The sequence below is a fragment of the Homo sapiens genome, chromosome 12 (genome assembly GCF_000001405.40).
Source record: "Homo sapiens chromosome 12, GRCh38.p14 Primary Assembly".
NCBI lineage: Eukaryota > Metazoa > Chordata > Mammalia > Primates > Hominidae > Homo > Homo sapiens.
In genome coordinates, this window is record NC_000012.12 from 124,892,394 (window position 1) to 124,915,701 (window position 23,308).

The 23,308-nt window shown below is 46.9% G+C and overlaps 1 protein-coding gene, 1 non-coding gene and 1 pseudogene across 2 annotated transcripts, besides 4 other annotated features; 2 read left to right on the plus strand and 1 right to left on the minus strand.

Moving 5' to 3' along the window:
* RNU6-927P (RNA, U6 small nuclear 927, pseudogene) lies at positions 9,119–9,218 on the plus strand (annotated as a pseudogene).
* Positions 17,070–17,364: a silencer, noted in NCBI's record as "tiled region #9680; HepG2 Repressive DNase unmatched - State 14:Gen5', and K562 Repressive non-DNase unmatched - State 8:EnhW". NCBI's record gives its function as "represses a minimal TATA promoter and a strong SV40 promoter by Sharpr-MPRA in HepG2 and K562 cells {active_cell/tissue: HepG2 | K562}" and the evidence as "EXISTENCE:reporter gene assay evidence [ECO:0000049][PMID:27701403]".
* Positions 19,253–22,257, minus strand: UBC (ubiquitin C). The gene is made up of 2 exons (NM_021009.7): positions 22,194–22,257; positions 19,253–21,381 (listed from the first exon to the last, which is right to left on the minus strand). The coding sequence occupies exon 2, from the start codon at positions 21,376–21,378 to the stop codon at positions 19,321–19,323; it is 2,058 nt and encodes a 685-aa protein (NP_066289.3). The 5' UTR covers positions 21,379–21,381; positions 22,194–22,257; the 3' UTR covers positions 19,253–19,320.
* Positions 21,554–22,511: an enhancer, noted in NCBI's record as "NANOG-H3K27ac-H3K4me1 hESC enhancer chr12:125398493-125399450 (GRCh37/hg19 assembly coordinates)". NCBI's record gives its function as "activates a minimal SCP1, AML or CMV promoter by ChIP-STARR-seq in primed H9 embryonic stem cells {active_cell/tissue: H9 hESC(primed)}" and the evidence as "EXISTENCE:reporter gene assay evidence [ECO:0000049][PMID:30033119]".
* Positions 21,836–22,285: an enhancer, noted in NCBI's record as "active region_7309". NCBI's record gives its function as "activates an Ori minimal core promoter by ATAC-STARR-seq in GM12878 lymphoblastoid cells {active_cell/tissue: GM12878}" and the evidence as "EXISTENCE:reporter gene assay evidence [ECO:0000049][PMID:35858748]".
* Positions 22,496–22,835: a silencer, noted in NCBI's record as "silent region_5068". NCBI's record gives its function as "represses an Ori minimal core promoter by ATAC-STARR-seq in GM12878 lymphoblastoid cells {active_cell/tissue: GM12878}" and the evidence as "EXISTENCE:reporter gene assay evidence [ECO:0000049][PMID:35858748]".
* Positions 23,154–23,266, plus strand: MIR5188 (microRNA 5188). The gene has a single exon (NR_049820.1). It is a non-coding gene; the product is annotated as a microRNA 5188 (primary transcript).

Consider the following 23,308-nt stretch of genomic DNA (forward strand, 5'->3'; position numbering starts at 1 on the left):
GCCTCCTGAGTAGCTGAGACTACAGGCGTATGCCACCACGCCCAGCCAATTTTTTGTATTTTTAGTAGGGACGGGGGTTTCACTATGTTGGCCAGGCTGGTCTCCAACTCCTGACCTCGTGATCCACCCGCCTTAGCCTCCCAAAATGCTGAGATTACAGGCGTAAGCCACCGTGCCCGGCCCTCTCTCCCTCTCTTGAGATAGGGTCTGGCTCTGTCGCACAGGCTGGAGTGCAGTGGTGTGATCTTGGGTGTCAATGCAACTTCTGCCTCCCGGGTTCAAGAGATCCTCCCACCTCAGCCTCCCAGGTAGCTGGGACCACAGGTGTTTGCTACCACACCCGGCTTATTTTTTAAAAATTTTTTATAGAGACAGGGTCTTGCCATGTTGCCCAGGCTAGATTCAAACTCCTGGACTCAAGTGATCCTCCTGCTTCAGCCTCCCCAAGTATTGGGATTACAGGCATTAGCCACCACGCCTGGTCAGGGATGGTTTTAAAGCATTTATGAATTCTGTAATCCCAGCACTTTGGGAAACAGAGGTGGGTGGATCACTGAGGTCAGGAGTTCTAGACCAGCCTGGCCAACATGGCGAAACCCTGTCTCTACCAAAACTACAAAAAATCAGCCGGGGGTGGTGGCACACACCTGTAGTCTCAGCTACTTGGGAGGCTGAGGCAGGAGAATTGCTTGAACCTCGGAGGTGGAGGCTGCAGTGAACCAAGATCACACCACTGCCCTCCAGCCTGGGCAACAGAGCAAGACTCCGTTTCAAAAAAAAAAAAAACAGTTGTGAATTCTTTTAAGATTTCTCCATAAAAAGGCAGAGCCTACTATGCATCAAAGGACACAATCAACAGAGTTCCTTCCACACAATGGGAGAAATTATTTGCAAATCATGTATCTAACAAAGGATGAATATGGTAAAACTCATCAACAAATAACCCAGTTTTTAAAATGGGCAAAAAGTTTATTGTGATGGCTCATGCCTACAATCCCAGCTCTTTGGGAGGCCAAGGTAGACATAGCACTTGATATGAGTTCAAGACCAGACTGGGCAACATAGCAAGAATCCATCTTTCCAAAAAATGAAAAAATTAGCCAGATGTGGTGGTGAATGCTATAGTCCCAGCTACAGGCTGAGGCAGGAAGATTGCTTGAGCCCGGGAGACTGAAGCTGCAATGAGCCGTGAGCACACCACTGCACCCCAGCCTAGACGACAAAGCAAGGCCCTGTCTCAAAAAAAAAAAAAAAAGTGTCGGGGGCAGGTTGGTGGCTCACGCCTCTAATCCCAGCACTTTGGGAGGCTGAGGTGGGAGGAGCGCTTGAGCTCAGGAGTTCAAGACCAGCCTGGCCAACATAGTGAAAGCCCCATCTCTATAAAAATACAAAGAAAATTAGCTGGGTGTGGTGGCGTGTGCCTGTGGTCCCAGCTACCCAGGAGGCTGAGGTGGAAGTTGCAGTGAGCCAATATCACACCACTGCACTCTAGCCTGGGCAACAGAGCGAGACCTTGACTCACAAAAAAAAAAAAAAAAGAAAAGAAAAGAAAAAGAAAAAGCAGGAAGGGGCAAAAGACTTGAACAGTCATTTCTACAAAGATGATATACAAATGGCCAATAAGCAAATGAAAAGATGAACGTCACTCATAACCAGAAAAATGCAAATTGAAACCACAGTGAGATATCACCTCACACCCATCCAGAGGGCTGCTTCCAAAAAAAAAAAAAAGCAGGCCAAGTGCAGTGGTTCATGCCTGTAATCCCAGCACTTTGGGAGGCTAAGGTGGGAGGATCACTTGAGGCCAAGAGTTTGAGACCAGCCTGGGCAACATGGCAAGACGCACTCTGTACCAATAAGATATAAAAATTAGCCAGGCATGGTGGTATGCACCTGTAGTCCCAGCTACTCGTGAGGCTGAGGCAGGAGGTTCACTTGAACCCAGGAGGTTGAAGCTGCGGTGAACCGAGATGCCGTCACTGCACTCCAGCCTGTGCAACAGAGCAAGACCCTGTCTCAAGAAAATAAAAAAAAAAAACCATAAAATTAAATTACATTAAAAAGTGGCCGAGTGCAATGGCTCACACCTATAATCCTAGCACTTTGGGAAGCCAAGGTGGGAGAATCACTTGAGCCCAGGAGTTTAACACCAGCTTGGCCAACATGGTGAAACCCATCTCTACTAAAAAGACAAAAGTTAGCTGGGCGTGGTGGTGGGCACCTGTAATCCCAGCTACTCGGAGGGCTGAGGCAGGAGAATCACTTGAACCTGGGAGGCAGAGGCTGCAGTGAGCCCAGATCATGCCACTGCACTCCAGCCTGGGCAACAGAGCAAGACTCCATCTCAAAAACAAAAAAATTAATTAAAAAGTGGCATTTACTACATTCACGGTGTTGTATAACCACCACCTCTACCTAGTTCCAGATATTTTTATCACCCCAAAATAAAACCCTGTACCCATTAAACACTCCCTCCTCACTCCCCCTCCTCCAGCCTCTGGCAGCCACTCATCTGCTTTCTGTCTCTGTGCATCTGCCTGTTATGGATATTTCCCATAAAAGGAGTCATACAATATGTGGCCTTTTTGTCTCTTGTATTTAAAAAAATCAACTATTGTTGACATTTGAAAACTTGTTTATGTTCCTACCTAAATACCATTCCTATTACTCCATCTTGAGAACTAATTAAGAATTGTTTGAAGTTAGGAAGGATCCTTTGGGAAGATAAGACTCAAAACTGTAACAGAAACAGCTCACCAAGATAGCAAAAAAATTATTATCCATTCATTATTTAGTCTACACGTATTTATTGAGCACCTACTATTGTCAAGCCCTGTTCTGGGCACCGGGATACAGCAGTGAGACAGACGAGGCCCCTGCTCATGGAGAATGCTGGAGACTTAAGTAAATACCAGGGAGCCAAAAGTGCTAAGTAAAGAAGTAAAACAGATGGGATCAGGCAGGACCGGATGGCAACCTTAGGTTGGGAGGTCAGGGAAGGCCTCTCTGAGTTAAACTAACCTGGAAATGACAAATTAGGCCTGCCACTCAAAGCTGGGAAAAGATTTGCAGGCAGAGGGAACAGTACGTGAAAATGTCAACAGCCCAGGAGACTGAGGCTGCACATCCTTTAACTGGTGGTCAAGGGAAGGGGAGAGAGGGAATGGTGCCCTCAGGGAGGGCAGCAGTGTTTTCTGTAGCCACGACGCCAACAGCAGAGGGAAGCGACCTCTCCCTTGCTGTGGGTAAGGCTGGGAATTGGCAACATGTTTCTGAAGGACAGATTGGCAACGGAGTCAGAAAGTTTTAAAATTTGCAAACTGCTGGGTGTGGTGGCTCACGCCTGTAATCCCAACACTTTGGGAGGCTGATGTGTGGGTGAATTGCTTGAGTCCAGGAGTTTGAAACCAGCCTGGGCAACATGGTGAGACCCTCATCTCTACAAAATATTTAAAAATTAGCCAGGTGTGATGGTGTGTGCTTGTGGTCCCAGCCACTGGGGAGGCTGAGGCTGGAGAGTCACTCGAGCCCACGGAGGCTGAGGCTGCAGTGAGCCGAGATGACGCCACTGCACTCCAGCCTGGGCGACAGAGTGAGACTCCGTCCCCCCCCCCAAAAAAAAAAAGAAAAGAGCGGCTTAGACTCTGCCTGGGATGGGGCCTGGGTTGGTCAAGGAGCTTTCTGTTAGCTGCTGTAACAAATCATGAACATAGTGACTTAAAACAACACAAATTGATTATCTTCTCATTATCTTTCGTTTCTGGAGGTCAGAAGTCCAAAACGGTTTCACCTGGCTAAAGTCAAGGAGTCTGCAGGGCTGCATCCCTTCTGGAAGCTCTAGGGGACAATCCGTTTCCTCACCTTTTTCAGCTTCTAGAGGTCGCCTGCACTCCTTGGCTCACGGCCCCCTCCTCCACCCGCAAAGCTCATCACTCCAGCCGCTGCCCCTGTGTCCACGTCACCTTCTTCCCCAAGACTGACTCCTGTGTCCCTCTCATAAGGACCCTTGTGGTTACATCAACCCACCAGATAAGCCCCAGATCATCTCCCCATCTCGGCACTTTTAATTTAATTCCAAAGTAACACAGTCACAGGTCCCAGAAAATTAGGATGCAGACATCTTTGGAGGAGCCATTGTTCAGCCTACCACAGAGGGCCTCTTTGATGGATAAAATCTGAATCAAAACCAAATGATTGAGAAAAAGTCACCCATGAGAGCAGAGCATTCTGGGTAGGGGTGGGCAGCAAGTGCAAAGGGCCTGTGGCAGGAGCTGGTTCGGCAGTTGGAGCACAGACCGTGAGACAGAGAGTGGCACCAGGGACGGGCCCAGGGCAGCTGGACCTTGTGGTCTGCAGCGAGGTATCATCCTTCCTTCTGCTCTGGCTGGGATGAGGATGATGAAAAACAAACTCAGGTTCATGTAGGAGACAGAGACGGTGTGGGACAAACAACAGATAGGACAATCTTGGAGTCTCTCCAAGGAACTGACTTTGACCTCAGACCTGAGTGGTCAGGGGGGCAAGGATCGGGAGGCCCTGGTCCTGTAGGGCCTTGTAGCCTTCGCAGAGGAAGTTGCATTTTTTGTGTATGCATTGGGAAGAAGCAGTTGATGGGGTTTAAGCAGGGATGGGGCAGGAGTCGTGTACCAGTTTTAAGGCAATCCCTGGCTGCTTTGCAGAGAGATTCAAGGATGAGCTGAAAGTCTCTATATTGAGAAGTTTTGCTCATCATAATCCGAAAGGAAGGGGAAGAAAACAGTTTGGCAGTTCACCAACAAGTTAAACATACAGGGAGTCTCTCTGAACCTATTCTGGTTCAGGGTCTGCTTGATTGAAACAAAAAAACGAAAAGAAAAAGAATCAAGTTATACATAGCATCACTATATGACCCAGGAATTCCACTCCTAGGCATACATCCAAGAGAACTGAAGACAGGCACTCAAACAAACACCTGTTTATGCATGTTCATAGCAGCAGTATTCATAACAGCAAAAAGCAAAAATACACATCACATAATACTCATTCACTTTTAACCATTTAAAAAACTATTTGGGAGACAACTCAAATACCCATCAATGGATGACAAAATGTGGCCTGTCCATACCACGGAATATGATTCAGCCATAAAAAGAAATGAAATATTGGCTGGCCATGGTGGCTTATACCTCTAATTTCAGCACTTTGGGAGTCTGAGGCAGGAGGATCACTTGAGGTCAAGAGTTAGAGACCAGCCTGGCCAACATAGAGAGACCCCATCTCAAAAAAAAAATTTTTTTTTAACACTGATACATACTACATCATGGATGAACCTCGAAAACCTGCTGCTAAGTGAGAGAAGTCAGGGCCAGGCACAATGGCTCACGCCTGTAATCCCAGCACTTTGAGAGGCTGAGGTGGGCAGATCACCTGAGGTCAGGAGTTCAAGACCATCCTGGCCAACATGGCAAAACCCCGTCTCTACTAAAAGTACAAACAAATTAACTACGCATAGTGGCAGGCGCCTGTAGTCCCAGCTACTTGGGAGGCTGAGGCAGGAGAATCACTTGAACCCGGGAGGCGGAGGCTGCAGTAAGCTGAGATCACACCACTGCACTCCAGCCTGGGAGACAGAGCAAGACTCTGTCTCAAAAAAAAAAAAAGTGAGAGAAGCCAGATACAAAAGGCCACACAGTGCAAGATTCTATTTATAGGAAATCTCCAGAGTAAGCATATCCATAGACAGAACACAGAGGGGCTCACGCCTGTTATCTCAGCGCTTTGGAAGGCTGAGGCAGGAGGATTGTTTGAGGCCAGAAATTTGAGGCTGCAGTGAGCTATGATTGCACCACTACACTCCAGCCCAGATGGCAGATCAAGACCCTGTCTGAAAAAAAAAAGAAAAAGAGACAGAAAACAGATTGGTGTTCACCAGGGACTGGGGAGAGGGAGAAATAGGAGGTGACTACTAATGGGTACAGGGGTTTCCTTTGGGAATGAAGGAATGTTCTGGAACTAGATGGAGGAGGTGGTTGCATAACATTGTGAATGTCCTAAATGCCACTGAACTGTACACTCAAAATGGTTAAAATGGTGAATTTTTTTTTAATGGCGAGTTCTGTGTTATGAGTATTTTACCACAATTTTTAAAGGACGGAGGAGATGGAGGGGTGCGGAGATGGAGGGGTGCAGGGACGGTGTGGGGAACGGTGGCGCCACCTGCGGGTACCACGCTCCGTGCCCACTTCCTTTAGGTGATGCCAGCACCCGGCTAGGAGCGAGTCACCTCCCCACTCCCCCTTGTGGCTGCCTTATGTTTTTTGTGGTGGCCTTGGAGAGAACCGGGGTGCCAGGACAGCCTGCATACGCTTGAGAGATGCTCTGGCTTTTGGCCATGGACTCTCAATTTAGGTTCGGTAACATTTCACCAGGGCCCTTGCCAGCCCCTAACTCAGCGTGGTGCCCGTGAGCACGCACAGAAACCTCCCCACGCTGGGAGGGGGCAGTGCTCCACCATCTGGGAACATTTTAGAAGCCCCCCAAATGGAAGACTCAACAATTGTTTCCTGTTTCTGCCTGCTTTCTAAACATTTTTCCACGTCTTACCACCATGCACATAGTTTTTAACTATTTTATCCATTTGTGTGTGTGACACTAAGGGCATTCACATTGCTGTGCAGCCGTTGCCACCATTCATCTCCAGAACAGTTTCGTCTTCCCAGACTGAAACTCGGTCCCCATTTTCATCCTGCAAAACTACAACTCCATACCCATTAACCCATTTCCTGTTTAGAAAAAAAAAAGTGCAGTTTGCTGCCAGCACTCATTTAATTTTACATAAACACGCTCTTTGAGGCTGAAGCAAATGTGACTGATTTTCAATGTGAAAATAAAATATAAAAACTGTTCTTGGCTGGGCACAGTGGCTCATGCTTGTAATCACAGCACTTTGGGAGCCCGAGGCTGGTGGATTGCTTGAGGTCAGGAGTTCAAGACCAGCCTGACCAACGTGGTGAAACCCCATCTCTACTCAAAATACAAAAATTAGCCAGTTGTGGTGGCAGGCACCTGTAATCCCAGCTACTCGGAAGGCTAAGGCAGGAGAATCGCTTGAACCCGAGAGGTGGAGGTTGCAGTGAGCTGAGATCGTGCCACTGAATTCCAGCCTGGGTGACAGAGCAAAGAGCTGGGATTACAGGCGTGAGCCACTGTGCCTGGTCTACACTGGTGGACTTTTAGGGTTGTTTTTTAGGGTTGTTTTCTGATTTCGGCTGTGAGCATGGGCACACCATAATTCTTTTTTTTCTTTTTTTTTTTTTTCTTTTTGGAGACAGAGTCTTGCTCTGTCACTCAGACTGGAGTACAGTGGTGCGATCTCAGCTCACTGCAACCTCCGCCTCCCGGGTTCAAGTGATCCTCCTGCCCACCACCATGCATGCCACCATGCCCAGCTAATTTTTGTATTTTTAGTAGAGACGGGGTTTCACCATGTTGGGCAGACTGGTCTCAAACTCCTGACCTCGTGATCCACCCACCTCGGCCTCCCAAAGTGCTGGGATTACAGGTGTGAACCACTGCACCCGGCTATAATTATTTTCAATGTTACACGCTTCAGCTAAGTCACCAGGGTTGTCCCTCTGTGGCTGCATGAATCTTAGATTCCAGGAGCAAATCAGTCCATCAGCCACTGAGGTTGGGGCAAGTGAAAAAGGACAGCCCTGCTGGCCAGGTGCAGTAGCTCACACCTGTAATCCCAGCACTTTGGGAGGCCAAGGCAGCAGGATCACTTGAGCCCAGGAGTTCCAGACCAGCCCAAGCAACATAGCAAGACGCCATCTCTACAGTCCCTTATTTGTTAAATGAACAAATAAACAAACTGCACAGTTAAATGAACAAACTGCACAATTACTTTATAACAAAATTACCTTTGAGAAACATTATAATTTTTTAAACAGTGACAGCCAGGCACTCTTGCAGTTTGTCATAGCTTCTGCCATTCCATATCCAATTCCGTCTTTCTCTCTGCATCCACCATAGCTAATAATTAGCAACACAAGCTCAGTGCAAACGACAGATGAGGCAATCATCACAAACATTAGATGCCCTCCTGGAGGGCAAAGTCTCCGCGTCCCCAGCTGAGATCCCAAGGGCTTCAAGAAGTGTTTTCTACATGGAAAGTGACTTTGTCAAGTGAAATAATCAATGAGGTCCTTATTGTGTGAGGGAACACAGAATAATTTTTAAGGTAAAACTATCACCGGGCACGGTGGCTCATACCTGTAATCCTAGCACTTTGGGAGGCTGAGTCGGGTGGATCACCTGAGGTTAGGAGTTCGAGACCAGCCTGACCAACATGGAGAAACCCCATCTCTACTAAAAATACAAAATTAGCTGGGTGTGCTGGCACATGCCTGTAATCCCAGCTACTCGGGAGGCTGAGGCAGGAGAATCACTTGAACCCGGGAGGCAGAGGTTGCAGTGAGCCAAGATCACGCCATTGCACTCCAGCCTGGGTAACAAGAGTGAAACTCCATCTCAAAAAAAAAAAAAAAGAAAGAAAGAAAACTATCATGAGATACTGTAATTCACCTGGCAGATAAATAAGCAAAGTGTGAGGAGCTCCTTGTGTTGTTAGGGTGTGAGGAAGGCACTGCTGACGGCTGTTGGTAGAAGGGTAAATTTGTGTAACCTCTTTGGAGGGGAATTTGACAAAGCCTGTCTAAATTTAAAATGCATATGGCCTTTGACCCAGCAAGTTCACTTTGAGAAGTTATCTTTCAGATATATATGCACACAAGGGCAAAAATCTATGGATAAAAATAGCCAGCCGGACGCAGTGACTCACTTCTGTAATCCCAGCACTTTGGGAGGCTGAGGTGTGCCAATCACTTGAGCTCCAGAGTTTGGGACCAGCCTGGGTAACATAGTGCTACTCCATCTCTATGAAAAATACAAAAATTAGCCAGGCATGGTGGTGCATGCCTGCAGTCCCATCTACTTGGAAGGCTAAGGTAGGAGAAGCACTTGAGCCTGGGAGGTCGAGGCTACGGTGAGCTGAGATCATGCCACAGCACTCCAGCCTGGGCGACAGAGCAAGACTCTGTCTCAAAAACTAATAATAACAATAATAAATAAAATACCTGTGCTCACTTCGGCAGCATGTATGCTAAAATTGAAATGATACAGAGTAGTTTAGCATGGCACCTGTTTACATTTTAAAAAAGGAAATAGCCTTGGCTGGGTGCTGTGGTTCATGCCTATTACCCCAGCACTGTGGGAGGCCGAGGCAGGCAGATACTTGAGCCCAGGAGTTTGAGATCAGCCTGAGCAACATGGTGAAACCCCGTCTCTACACAAAACACAAAAATTAGCTGGGCATGGTGGCGCATGTCTGTAGTCCCAGCTACTTGGGAGAAAGAAGTCAGAGGAGAATCACTTGAACCCAGGAGGTGGAGGTTGCAGTGAGCTGAGATTGCACCACTGCACTCCAGCCTGGGTGACAGAGCGAGACACCATGTCAAAAAAAAAAAAAAAAAAAAGGATGTGTACATTGAGTTTATCCAGAAGACAGATCAAAAGTAGGTGCCCTTAGGTTCCATCACCGCTGCTTTCAGCTGCCTACCCTCAAACCCATATGGCATTCTGATTGTTTTTTCAGGGTGGCGACACATTCAGCTTCAACTAATGGGTTATAATTGGTCTAAACCAGTGGTTTACAAGGAGGGAAAATTTTGCCTCCCAGGGAACTTAGAAAATGTCTGGAGACTTTCTGGGCTGTCACAACTAAGGATGACTGGGGTCCACGGGATAGAGGCCGGGGATACTGCTAATCATCCTACAATGCACGGGACAGCCCCAAGCAAAGAATTCTCGAGGCCAATACGTCAGTCAATAGTGCTGAGTTAGAGAAACCTTGGTCTAAACCAAACATAAAAACCCTATTCCCTGCTTCACAGCCTCCTTTGCAGCTATTGACAGCCACTGGACCCAGTTCTGACCAATGAGACCTGAAGGAAGTCAGTGAACGCTTTTCTTCATAAAAGAAACTCATGTGGCTGACCCCAATCTTCCCTGCTTCTTCCTTTGAATACAGATGTGTCTGGATTTGTGACAATAATCTTGCAACTATGAGAGAAAGAACAGCAGAATCACACCCTGACATCAGAGTCCCTTATATCCAAATCCAGATGTCATCTTCTTCCTTTTTTTTTTTTTTTTTTTTTTTGAGACAGCACCTTACTCTGTCTCCCAAGCTGGAGTGCAGTGGTGCAGTTATAGCTCACTGCAGCCTTGACCTACCGGGCAACCCTCCTGCCTCAGCCTCCCAAGTAGCTGGGACTACAGGCATGCACCTCTAGGCCTGGCTCTCATTCTTTTTATTGTTGTTGAAACTATAGAATCTATTTTTAAATCAGCCCAGCTAATTTTTTATTTTTTGTAGAGAAAGGGGTCTTGTTATGTTGCCAGGGATGGTCTTAAACTCCTGGCCTCAAGTGATCTTCTCACCTCAACCTCCCAAAGTGCTGAGATTACAGGCATGAGCCACCGTCCCCAGCTAGATTTCTTATGTGAGAAAATTTACATCCCCTTGTTTAAACCTCTGTAGTTTGATTTTTCCTGTAGGGTGTTTAAATACCCTCTTGTTTAAACCTCTGTAGTTTGATTTTTCTGTTTCCTAATCTGTGTACTACCACTTAGTCTAATTCTAGTTGGTGGACCAATGAGATTTCAATTTCAGTTCTGCTTATAGGCCTGATGCTTCTCTTCTGCAGAGTAAAAAGTTAGGGGCCAGGCGCAGTGGCTGACACTTGTAATCCCAGCACTGTTGGAGGCTGAGGCAGGTGGATCGCTTGAGCCCAGGACTTTGGGACCAGCCTGGGCAACATGGCGAAACCCTGCCTCTACAAAAAATACAAAAATTAGCTGGGCATCGTGGTGCACGCCTATTAGTCCCAGCTACCAGGGAGGCTGAGGTGGGAGGATCACTTGAGCCTGGGGAAGTCGAGGCTGTAGTGAGCCATGATCTCGCCATTGCACTCTGGCCTGGGCAACAGAGTGAGACCCTGTCTCAGAAAATAATAGTAATAATACCAGTCTGGCCAATATGGTGAAACCTCATCTGTACTAAAAATACAAAAATTGGTTGGGTGTGGTGGTGCACACCTGTAATCCCAGCAACTCGGGAAGTTGAAGCATGAGAATCGCTTGAACCTGGGAGGTGGAGGTTGCAGTGAGCCGAGCCACTGCACTCCAACCTAGGTGACAGAGCGAGATTCCGTGTCAAAAAAAAAAAAATTAAAAAAAAATTTTAAATAATATGTTTAATTAAAAATATAAATAAAAATTCTCTTCACATTCACTTGTTTCAGGGATGGCAATCCCACCCCCAGGAGAAGATCCTGGCTAACCTTGACCTATCACTGGCCATCCCATTCCCTTTGCCAGTAAATGGTTTAAGAACAAGCATCTGCTTGGTGTCTGGAAGCATGAGAGTGCTGTTATTTCAAACTTTCAATATTTTTCTAATTCATCATTTGAGGAAAGACAACTCTTGTTCTGAGAAAAAAAAAATTTAATGATTGTTTTGGCCCAAAGGAAAAGCCAAAATTCTATTTTAATATGATATTAAAAGAAAAGAACCGGCTTGGCGTAGTGGCTCACACCTGTAATCCCAGCACTTTGGAAAGCCGAGGCAGGCGGATCACCTGAGGTCAGGAGTTTGAGACCAGCCTGACCAACATGGAGAAACCCCGTCTCTACTGAAAATACAAAATTTGCCAGGTGTGGTGGCACATGCCTGTAATCCCAGCTACTCGGGAGGCTGAGGTAGGAGAATAATTTGAACCCGGGAGGCAGAGGTTGTGGTGAGCAGAGATCATGCCACTGCACTCCAACCTGGGCAACAAGAGTGAAACTCTGTTTCATATATATATATATATATATATATATATATATATATATATATGCATACATACATATGCTAAAATTCCTGCAAACTAGCGTTAACTTTGTCTTCATTGAGAGCAGAATGGTAATAACATCATCTGGAGGTTATGATGATGTCATCTGGGTGGGAGGTAAATTTTTTTTTTCTCCTTACACTGGGCCCCACAGAAGGGGGTGAGGTTTGGCTCCAGGTTTGGGGGATATAGCTAAGGAAGGATGTCAGCTCTGGGCCAAAGACAGGAATGACCTATCAGATCCCCCAGGGAAGGAGCAGGACCCTGGAGCATTAATATCTGCGGCACACAATTGTGATTTCTCCGCGTTGCAATTTCCTTTCACTACCCCCATGTCTAGCTGTCCTAAGGAAAGAGCCAGATCCCTGAGGCAACCCAGAGAAGCCAAGTCTAAGATGTCAGAGGTCATGGGCAGAATCTCCCAAGGCAGCCAGCTGGCTGAGTGACAAATGACAACAAGCACAGATTTGTGAAGAGTGCAAGCATTCTTCAGAAACTCCCAAAAATACCAGTGAGGAGAAACTGGTAAGTGGACTTCCTCGAGGAGTCACGCACAGTGCAGAACAGACCACTGTCCCACGTGCTTGCAGGGACACGCTGGCCTCTAAACACTGGCCCACACAGCGCTGAGTCACACTTGCCCCTCCCTCTTGCCTACGGTCACTCCCCAGCCACAGTTGATGCTAACGAGCTTCGCCCTTCACTCCCGGGAGTTCGGCAGCTTTTGCACATTTTAAGATCAACTGAGAGTTTATAAATATGCCCCGTTTTTCTATGACCATCGCTATGGGAAGAGATGAATGTGTTCTAACCTGTTTCCCATCAAAACTTGTGTTCTAACCCCAAAAGGAAAAGCAGCAATAAAAACAACCAAAACATTTTTTAAAAATAGGTTCTATAGTTTCAAAAACAATAAAAAGAATAAGAGCCAAGCCTGGAGGTGCGCGCCTGTAGTCCCAGCTACTTAGGAGGCTGAGGCAAGAGGATGGCTTCAGCTGGGGAGGTTGAGGCTGCAGTGAGCTGTGATCACACCACTGCACTCCAGCCTGGGCGACAGAGGGAGACACCGTTTGTAAAAAAAAAAAAATTTTTTTTTTTGAGATGGAGTCTCCCTCTGTCACCCAGGCTGGAGTGCAGTGGCGCAGTCTCGGCTCACTGCAACCTCCGCCTCCTGAGTTCAAGCGTTTCTCCTGCCTCAACCTCCCGAGTAGCTGGGATTACAGGTGCATACCACCACGCCTGGCTAATTTTTGTTTTGTTTTGTTTCGTTTGTTTGTTTTTTTGAGACGGAGTCTCTCTCTGTCTCCCAGGCTGGAGTGCAGTGGTGCAATCTCGGCTCACTGCAAGCTCCGCCTTCCAGGTTCACGCCATTCTCCTGCCTCAGCCTCCCAGGTAGCTGGGACTACAGGCGCCCGCCACCACGCCCAGCTAATTTTTTTTTTTTTTTTTTTTGTATTTTTAGTAGAGACGGGGTTTCACCGTGTTAGCCAGGATGGTCTCAATCTCCTGAGCTCATGATCCGCCTGCCTTGGCCTCCCAAAGTGCTGGGATTACAGGCGTGAGCCACCACTCCCGGCCTCCTCCAGCCCCATCTCTTCACATGCTTTTCCCACCTCAGTTATGCTGGTCTCCTTTCTGTTCCTCAAATATGCCCAAGTCTTCCAGCCCCAGGGCCCCCGTGCTATTTCCTGCCTCTCCACCTTCTGCAAAGCTAAGGCCCATCTTCCAGGTCTCACATAAATACTGTCTTTCCCGAAAGCCTCTTCCAACCATCCACAAGCAGGATCCCAAACTCCTCCCATTCAACCTGACAGCCTCACATAGCTCCTGTCACCATGTGTAATTTTTGCTTACTAGCAGATCAAAGAACAGAAGCAAGCCGTTTGATTGTTTCTTTTTGTTTTGTTTTGTTTTTAGACAGAGTCTCACGAGCCTCCTTACAAAATAGAAAAGTCAATGGGATTTCAGGGAAAATGGATAATCTTCGTTGGGGGCAGTCAAGGAAGGCTTTGTGGAACCTTTGAATTAGATCTTGACATTATATCTTGACAGTACTTTGAATAAATACAAATAATGTTATTTTTTTGTTAAGACTCATGCAACCGCATCTATGTAAATGAATCCGTACATAGTATTCATTCGAGTGTGAAATCAGACTTTGGGATGCTTTAAAATTTAACAGTCAGGAACACTTACTCTATTTTATGGACTTAAATTTGTTGAGGTGGCAGGGAACAACTTGAGTGAAGGGTGGGACATGGCAGTGTGTATGTGGGGGAAAAAGGTGGCCAGCAGATAAGGGAAGCAGGGGACAGAGTATTTTGAGGGATTAGACCTGACCAGCTATAACAGGAAATAGAGGCTGTAGATTGAAGGATAGCTACAATGGATGTTATGGAGAAATTCCAACTGGGGTGGAAACATGTAGCTGCAAAATTGGAAGAGCAGCTTATTCTAGGCAGAAAAGAAGAAAGTAAAAGGCATCTGAGGGGACACTAAATTAATGCTTACTGATAAGTAAACAAGCCTCTGGAAGTAGAAAGGTAAAAGCATAAATTGCTTGGTCAACCACAACCGCTTGGGAGTGCTGCAGGCTTCATGACTAAACCAAAGTCTGTCCCTGAAGCTCCCTCTTCCGGCAGAAATAAATACTGCACACTAAGCTGGCTGACTCCTTTAATTAAAAGGTGCTTGCCAATCTCTAAACAGTATACCTGTATGGGAGTCATAATTGTAATATCTTGGTGAGGATTTTGTTGTGCTTTCAGGCAAACCATAAAAGGAACACTAATTTAAATAAATACAAACAATGTTATTTTATTCTTAAGATTCAGGCAACCACATCTATGTAAGTGAATCCTTACATGGTATTCATTCAAGTGTGAAACCAAACTTTGGGATGCTTTAAAATTTAACAATCAGGAACAAGACTCTGTTAAAAAAAAAAAAAAAGAAATGTTAGAACTCTGTCAAACTATAAAAATATAAAGTGAAATAGCACAGTGCAGACAGACTGTACAGACCAGTGTGCTACCTTTCATGTAAAGGGGAATTACATATATTATATATATGATTTTTTTATTATTTGTGTATATACAGTACTCACTGTATATGCATAAAGTCTGCAAGTACATGCTGGGGGGAAGGGGTGGATGGGAGACAAGGATGGAAGATTTTTTTGTTGTTTTTTTTTGGAGACCGAGTCTCGCTCTGTCACTCAGGCTGGAGGGCAGTGGCACCATCTCAGCTCACTGCAACCTCCACCTCCCAGGTTCAAGAGATTCTCCTGCCTCAGCCTCCCGAGTAGCTGGGACTACAGGCATGCATCACCACGCTCAGCTAATTTTTGTATTTTATTAGAGATGAGGTTTTGCTATATATATATATATATATATATATGAATATATGAATATATATATATGAATATATGAATATATATATATATATGAATATATGAATATATATATATTGGCCAGGCTGGTCTCGAACTCCTGCCCTCAGGTGATCTGCCCACCTCAGCCTCCCAAAGTGCTGGGATTACAGGTGTGAGTGGCCTGGAAGATTTTTTATTATATACTGTTTAAAAGTTTTTAAGTAGTTGAAACACATGAAGACATCACCTCAAAAAGTTATATTAACAATTCAAAAATATGCACATTAAGGATTAATTTTTTTGAAAAATTTAAAAATTGAGAAATATCATGGGACAGTAACACAGTAATCATGAAGAATTATAAAAATAAGTGCTGGCCGGGCGCAGTGGCTCAAGCCTATAATCCCAGCACTTTGGGAGGCCGAGGCGGGCAGATCACAAGGTCAGGAGATCAAGACCATCCTGGCTAACACAGTGAAACCCTGTCTCTACTAAAAATACAAAAAAAATTAGACGGGCTTTGTAGCGGGCGCCTGGAGTCCCAGCTACTCGGGAGACTGAGGCAGGAGAATGGTGTGAACCCGGGAGGTGGAGCTTGCAGTGAGCCGAGATCACGCCACTGCACTCCAGCATGGACAACAGAGCGAGACTCCGTCTCAAAAAAAATAAATAAATAAGTGCTAAGGCTGATTATTTTATTAGCCCTAAGAATCCAATTAAAATAGAAATCTTGTATTTATGCTATTCTTTCAAAATCTTTATGTAAAGCAAGCTTTTAATAGGATGTTATAAAAATAGATTTTGCTCCTTGTGTTCAAGTTTCTCCTCTTGAAATTGCACATTTTACATTTTTTAAAAAATTAAAATTAAAAAACAAAATAGTATGATAGTGTTAATTTGGCAGTTCCAACTTTAGTAACCTATCTTACAGAAATATGAATAGACAAAATAAAGATGTGTGAGGATGTACTTTGCAGCAGCATTATAATAGCAAAAACCTGGAAACAAATATTGATGGACAGGTTAAGTAAATCATAGGACATTCATACAATGGAATACTAGCAAAAATATTAAAAAGAATGAGGTAGATCTAGATATGCTAGTATGGAAAGATGTCCATAATTATCTAGTTCCCCACCTCAAAAAAAAAAAAAAAACCTGAGAATCATTATACTGAGAATGGTCCAATTTGTGTCTGTATGTACATAATATGTACATAACAAATATAGTATATTTTTACACAGGGGAAAAGTCCAAAAGAATATCAACCTGTAAAAAGTAGTTATCCCAGCTGGGCGCGGTTGCTCATGCCTGTAATCCCAGCACTTTGGGAGGCAGAGGCAGGCGGATCACAAGGTCAGGAGATCGAGACCATCCTGGCTAACACAGTGAAACCCTGTCTCTACTAAAAATACAAAAAATTAGCCAGGTATGGCGACGTGCGCCTGTAGTCCCAGTTGTTGGGGAGGCTGAGGCAGGAGAATAGCGTGAACCAGGGAGGCGGAGCTTGCAGTGAGCCGAGATCGCGCCACTGCACTCCAGCCTGGGCGACACAGCGAGACTCCATCTCAAAAAGAAAAAGTAGTTAGTTATCCCTGGAAAGTAAAATTGAGTAGGAACTTAAATGGGTTACTATCACCTTTGACTTTATAAACCTGCACACAAACACACAAAATGTGTATGTATTTAATTACAAACAGTAAGAGACCTGGCATGGTGCCTCACACCTGTAATCTCAGCACTTTGGGAGGCAGAGGCAGGAGAATCACTTGAGGCCAGGAGTTTGAGACCAACCTAGGCAACAAGCGAAATCCAACCCCCCCTTTTTTTTTTCCTGAGACGGAGTCTTGCTCTTGTTGCCCAGGCTGGAATGCAGTTACACAATCTCGGCTCACTGCAACCTCCACATCCCGGGTTCCAGCGATTCTCCTGCCTCAGCCTTCCGAGTAGCTGGGATTACAGGCGCCTGCCAACACACCCAGCTATTTTTTTGTATATTTTGTAGAGATGGGATTTGCCATCCCTCCAACTCCTGACCTCAGGTGATCCGCCCACCTGGGCCTCCCAAAGTGCTGGGATTACAGGCGTGAGCCACCGCACCCGGCCTGAAATCCCCTATTTTTAAAAAAGGTAAATAAACGTATTTTTTTTCTCTGGGAGTGACCATACGTGGAAATTTCACTTTCTACATCACTAATTTTATGAATGTGCTTATGTTGCTCTATACTGCTTTTCAAAACTTTTCTAGTACCTATGCTTGTAATTCGGAATTTCTCACTGAACTTGATAGAAGCACTTTAGTTCAAGGGGCCAAGTGTTCTTCAGTGAGTTTTCAAGTGAGCATCCTCACCTCTACAACATTCACACAGCTTTATTAAATAGACTAATGTTCGCTCACACCAAGATCCTGCCGGCTCTGCACAACGCTGTTAACACCAATGTGACCCAGTTCCATCCCACATCTTCAACAGCTTTAGCAGCCATGGCCTTTCTTGTACTTGACTTGATGCAGCTTTGAAGTTTTCAAAAAGCACCTTACACAGATTTATCAATGTTACAATGCCTGACACCAAGTGTACATCTTTAACACTATTCAAGGTATTTTTTCCTTACACTAAGGTCATCCAGATTTTAATGGTAACTAAAATTACACAGAAAGTTGCATACTAACTGGAAGTGATCGCCTGTCTAGTAGTGGTTGAGTTTGTTGGGTTCTTGTAACGTTTCCTGATTCACATGCTCACTTGCATGGGAGGGTCATGGAAATTATACATTGGATGCACTCATAATGAAAACTCACAATGGATTTCCTTAAGATTTATGAATTTCTCAAATTTTAGTCCAGTAACCCTAACCCTAAAGCTAAAACTGGTTTAAGCCACCCTCAGTTGCTTTACAATTGCTAGGGACATGAAACTATCCCACAGCAGCTGTTCATGAATCCCCTAAAACTTTAAGCGAGAGAAGAGGGAGTGATTCTCCTTCGGAAAAACATTCCAAGGCCTTTAATGGGCCTCTGGATGACTGCCTGGTGTCCACCCTTGTACTAAACCAGTTTCCCTGCAACTTCCACCTTTGGTTCTAGTCAACATTAACACCTTACCAGGACCATTCGATTGGGCAAATGCTACTATACACTTGGACAAATCCAGAGGTCAATTGTTTCCCCCACTGGTTAGGTTATGTGCCAATCCTCCACCTGTAGTCACATAAAATGTGACATTTTACCAGCAAGAATTGTTTCAAGAACGCAATTGTTTCAACGAATAGCTCACTCTCTAACCACTAATTCTTTTTCCACACCTTGGTAGCTATGCCTTTTTTTACCTTCCACATCCTCTTAAAATTTGATCCCATGACTGTCTATGCAGCTCAATGTGCATTTATATAGACCTATGCACTGAAAGCATCCTTTCAGTTACCCCATCACTCCCACCTTTTAAAATTCCTTTCCTGGTGTTCCAGTAATTCTCCCATTCCGTTACCTTACACATCACCCACAAACCAGTACTTTTAAAGTTAACTTATAAGCAAATCTACATATGCAAAATACTTCCATCTCCCAATAACTTCTTTTTTGAGTCTTGCTGTCGCCCCAGCTGGAGTACAGTGGCAGTATCTCAGATCACTGCAACCTCTGCTTCGTAGGTTCAAGGGATTCTCCTGCCTCAGCCTCCCAAGTAAGCTGGAATCACAGGCACTCACTGCCACACCTGCCTTTTTTGTATTTTCAGTAGACATAGGGTTTCACCACGTTGGCCAAGCTGGTCTTGAAGCTGGCTTTTATTTGCACCCACCTTCTACAGTTCATACTATATTAAGGCCACCCCCTTCACTGACATTTCACCGTTACCACAGGAACATTTGTAGACCGAAAACCTTGACCCCCTTCACCCAGTCTAATGCAAAATAAACTTAAAAAAAAAAAAAAAAAAAACACCAATTGGGAATGCAACAACTTTATTGAAAGGAAAGTGCAATGAAATTTGTTGAAACCTTAAAAGGGGAAACTTAGACACCCCCCCTCAAGCGCAGGACCAAGTGCAGAGTGGACTCTTTCTGGATGTTGTAGTCAGACAGGGTGCGTCCATCTTCCAGCTGTTTCCCAGCAAAGATCAACCTCTGCTGATCAGGAGGGATGCCTTCCTTATCTTGGATCTTTGCCTTGACATTCTCGATGGTGTCACTGGGCTCCACCTCGAGGGTGATGGTCTTACCAGTCAGGGTCTTCACGAAGATTTGCATCCCACCTCTGAGACGGAGCACCAGGTGCAGGGTGGACTCTTTCTGGATGTTGTAGTCAGACAGGGTGCGTCCATCTTCCAGCTGTTTCCCAGCAAAGATCAACCTCTGCTGGTCAGGAGGGATGCCTTCCTTGTCTTGGATCTTTGCCTTGACATTCTCAATGGTGTCACTCGGCTCCACTTCGAGAGTGATGGTCTTACCAGTCAGGGTCTTCACGAAGATCTGCATCCCACCTCTAAGACGGAGCACCAGGTGCAGGGTGGACTCTTTCTGGATGTTGTAGTCAGACAGGGTGCGTCCATCTTCCAGCTGTTTCCCAGCAAAGATCAACCTCTGCTGGTCAGGAGGGATGCCTTCCTTGTCTTGGATCTTTGCCTTGACATTCTCAATGGTGTCACTCGGCTCCACTTCGAGAGTGATGGTCTTACCAGTCAGGGTCTTCACGAAGATCTGCATCCCACCTCTAAGACGGAGCACCAGGTGCAGGGTGGACTCTTTCTGGATGTTGTAGTCAGACAGGGTGCGTCCATCTTCCAGCTGTTTCCCAGCAAAGATCAACCTCTGCTGGTCAGGAGGGATGCCTTCCTTGTCTTGGATCTTTGCCTTGACATTCTCAATGGTGTCACTCGGCTCCACCTCGAGAGTGATGGTCTTACCAGTCAGGGTCTTCACGAAGATCTGCATCCCACCTCTGAGACGGAGCACCAGGTGCAAGGTGGACTCTTTCTGGATGTTGTAGTCAGACAGGGTACGACCATCTTCCAGCTGTTTTCCGGCAAAGATCAACCTCTGCTGGTCAGGAGGGATGCCTTCCTTGTCTTGGATCTTTGCCTTGACATTCTCAATGGTGTCACTCGGCTCCACTTCGAGAGTGATGGTCTTACCAGTCAGGGTCTTCACGAAGATCTGCATCCCACCTCTGAGACGGAGCACCAGGTGCAGGGTAGACTCTTTCTGGATGTTGTAGTCAGACAGGGTGCGCCCATCTTCCAGCTGCTTTCCGGCAAAGATCAACCTCTGCTGGTCAGGAGGAATGCCTTCCTTGTCTTGGATCTTTGCTTTGACGTTCTCGATAGTGTCACTGGGCTCGACCTCAAGGGTGATGGTCTTGCCAGTGAGTGTCTTCACGAAGATTTGCATCCCACCTCTGAGACGGAGTACCAGGTGCAAGGTGGACTCTTTCTGGATGTTGTAGTCAGACAGGGTACGACCATCTTCCAGCTGTTTTCCGGCAAAGATCAACCTCTGCTGATCAGGAGGAATGCCTTCCTTATCTTGGATCTTTGCCTTGACATTCTCGATGGTGTCACTGGGCTCCACCTCGAGGGTGATGGTCTTACCAGTCAGGGTCTTCACGAAGATCTGCATCCCACCTCTGAGACGGAGCACCAGGTGCAGGGTAGACTCTTTCTGGATGTTGTAGTCAGACAGGGTGCGCCCATCTTCCAGCTGCTTTCCGGCAAAGATCAACCTCTGCTGGTCAGGAGGAATGCCTTCCTTGTCCTGGATCTTTGCTTTGACGTTCTCGATGGTGTCACTGGGCTCGACCTCAAGGGTGATGGTCTTGCCAGTGAGTGTCTTCACGAAGATTTGCATCCCACCTCTGAGACGGAGCACCAGGTGCAGGGTGGACTCTTTCTGGATGTTGTAGTCAGACAGGGTGCGCCCATCTTCCAGCTGTTTTCCAGCAAAGATCAGCCTCTGCTGGTCAGGAGGGATGCCTTCCTTATCTTGGATCTTTGCCTTGACATTCTCGATGGTGTCACTGGGCTCAACCTCGAGGGTGATGGTCTTACCAGTCAGAGTCTTCACGAAGATCTGCATTGTCTAACAAAAAAGCCAAAAACGGCCAGAATTTAGCGGACAATTTACTAGTCTAACACTGAAAATTACATATTGACCCAAATGATTACATTTCAAAAGGTGCCTAAAAAACTTCACAAAACACACTCGCCAACCCCGAGCGCATAGTTCAAAACCGGAGCTTCAGCTACTTAAGAAGATAGGTACATAAAACCGACCAGAGAAACTGACGCCTCACTTATCCCTCCCCTCACCAGAGGTCCGGCGCCTGTCGATTCAGGAGAGCCTACCCTAGGCCCGAACCCTGCGTCCTGCGACGGAGAAAAGCCTACCGCACACCTACCGGCAGGTGGCCCCACCCTGCATTATAAGCCAACAGAACGGGTGACGTCACGACACGACGAGGGCGCGCGCTCCCAAAGGTACGGGTGCACTGCCCAACGGCACCGCCATAACTGCCGCCCCCGCAACAGACGACAAACCGAGTTCTCCAGTCAGTGACAAACTTCACGTCAGGGTCCCCAGATGGTGCCCCAGCCCATCTCACCCGAATAAGAGCTTTCCCGCATTAGCGAAGGCCTCAAGACCTTGGGTTCTTGCCGCCCACCATGCCCCCCACCTTGTTTCAACGACCTCACAGCCCGCCTCACAAGCGTCTTCCATTCAAGACTCGGGAACAGCCGCCATTTTGCTGCGCTCCCCCCAACCCCCAGTTCAGGGCAACCTTGCTCGCGGACCCAGACTACAGCCCTTGGCGGTCTCTCCACACGCCTCCGTCCCACCGAGCGGCCCGGCGGCCACGAAAGCCCCGGCCAGCCCAGCAGCCCGCTACTCACCAAGTGACGATCACAGCGATCCACAAACAAGAACTGCGACCCAAATCCCGGCTGCGACGGAACTAGCTGTGCCACACCCGGCGCGTCCTTATATAATCATCGGCGTTCACCGCCCCACGGAGATCCCTCCGCAGAATCGCCGAGAAGGGACTACTTTTCCTCGCCTGTTCCGCTCTCTGGAAAGAAAACCAGTGCCCTAGAGTCACCCAAGTCCCGTCCTAAAATGTCCTTCTGCTGATACTGGGGTTCTAAGGCCGAGTCTTATGAGCAGCGGGCCGCTGTCCTGAGCGTCCGGGCGGAAGGATCAGGACGCTCGCTGCGCCCTTCGTCTGACGTGGCAGCGCTCGCCGTGAGGAGGGGGGCGCCCGCGGGAGGCGCCAAAACCCGGCGCGGAGGCCGCTGCACCGGGAGCGGGTGGGCGGCCCGCGTTCCTTAGCCGCGGCTCCGCGGCCCCTCCCCTCAGCCCCCGCGGTCCCCTCGGGTCGCGAACCCCGCGTTCGGCGGACGTGGGGCACGCAGCGAGCGCCTTCTGCAGAGTCGGGGTCTCCCTCCCCTCCCTCCTGACCCGCCCTGGCCCACCCTGCGAGATGGACGGGTCTTTATTTTTGGGTCACATTTGAGGTAATGACGGGGCTTCCTTTGCTCAGCCCCCTTCAACCTCCCTGAGCCTCCCAGGCCGGTCGCGGGGGGCTCCCGGGGCCGCGGGACAAGGACAATGACTCGGCAGATCTCAGGGCGGGCGTGGCCCTAAAGCTGGGGAACGCTCGAGAACTTTCCAGGGGAGACACTGCAGAGGAGCTGGGTGTCCAGGTTAAATTTGGAAAAAAGAGGCGGAAACCCCACACAGTTTTATTTTAGCTGGAACGCAAGGCTGAGCGAACGACATCCTTCTAGACTGTTCTTCCACCTTCCTGTACATTCTGAGGGCCAGGTATGGAAAGGTCCTACTTGATGCCAACAGGGAGGCATGGAAATTTCTCTGGTTTCAATGGGTACGATTATTGTAAGCAGGATCCATTCAATAATCGGACCCATTTAAACCGGAGATTTTAAAAGACAGGAATAGAATCCCAACCTTATTTCAGTGCAGGGTAGGGTGTCAAATATGAAATGTA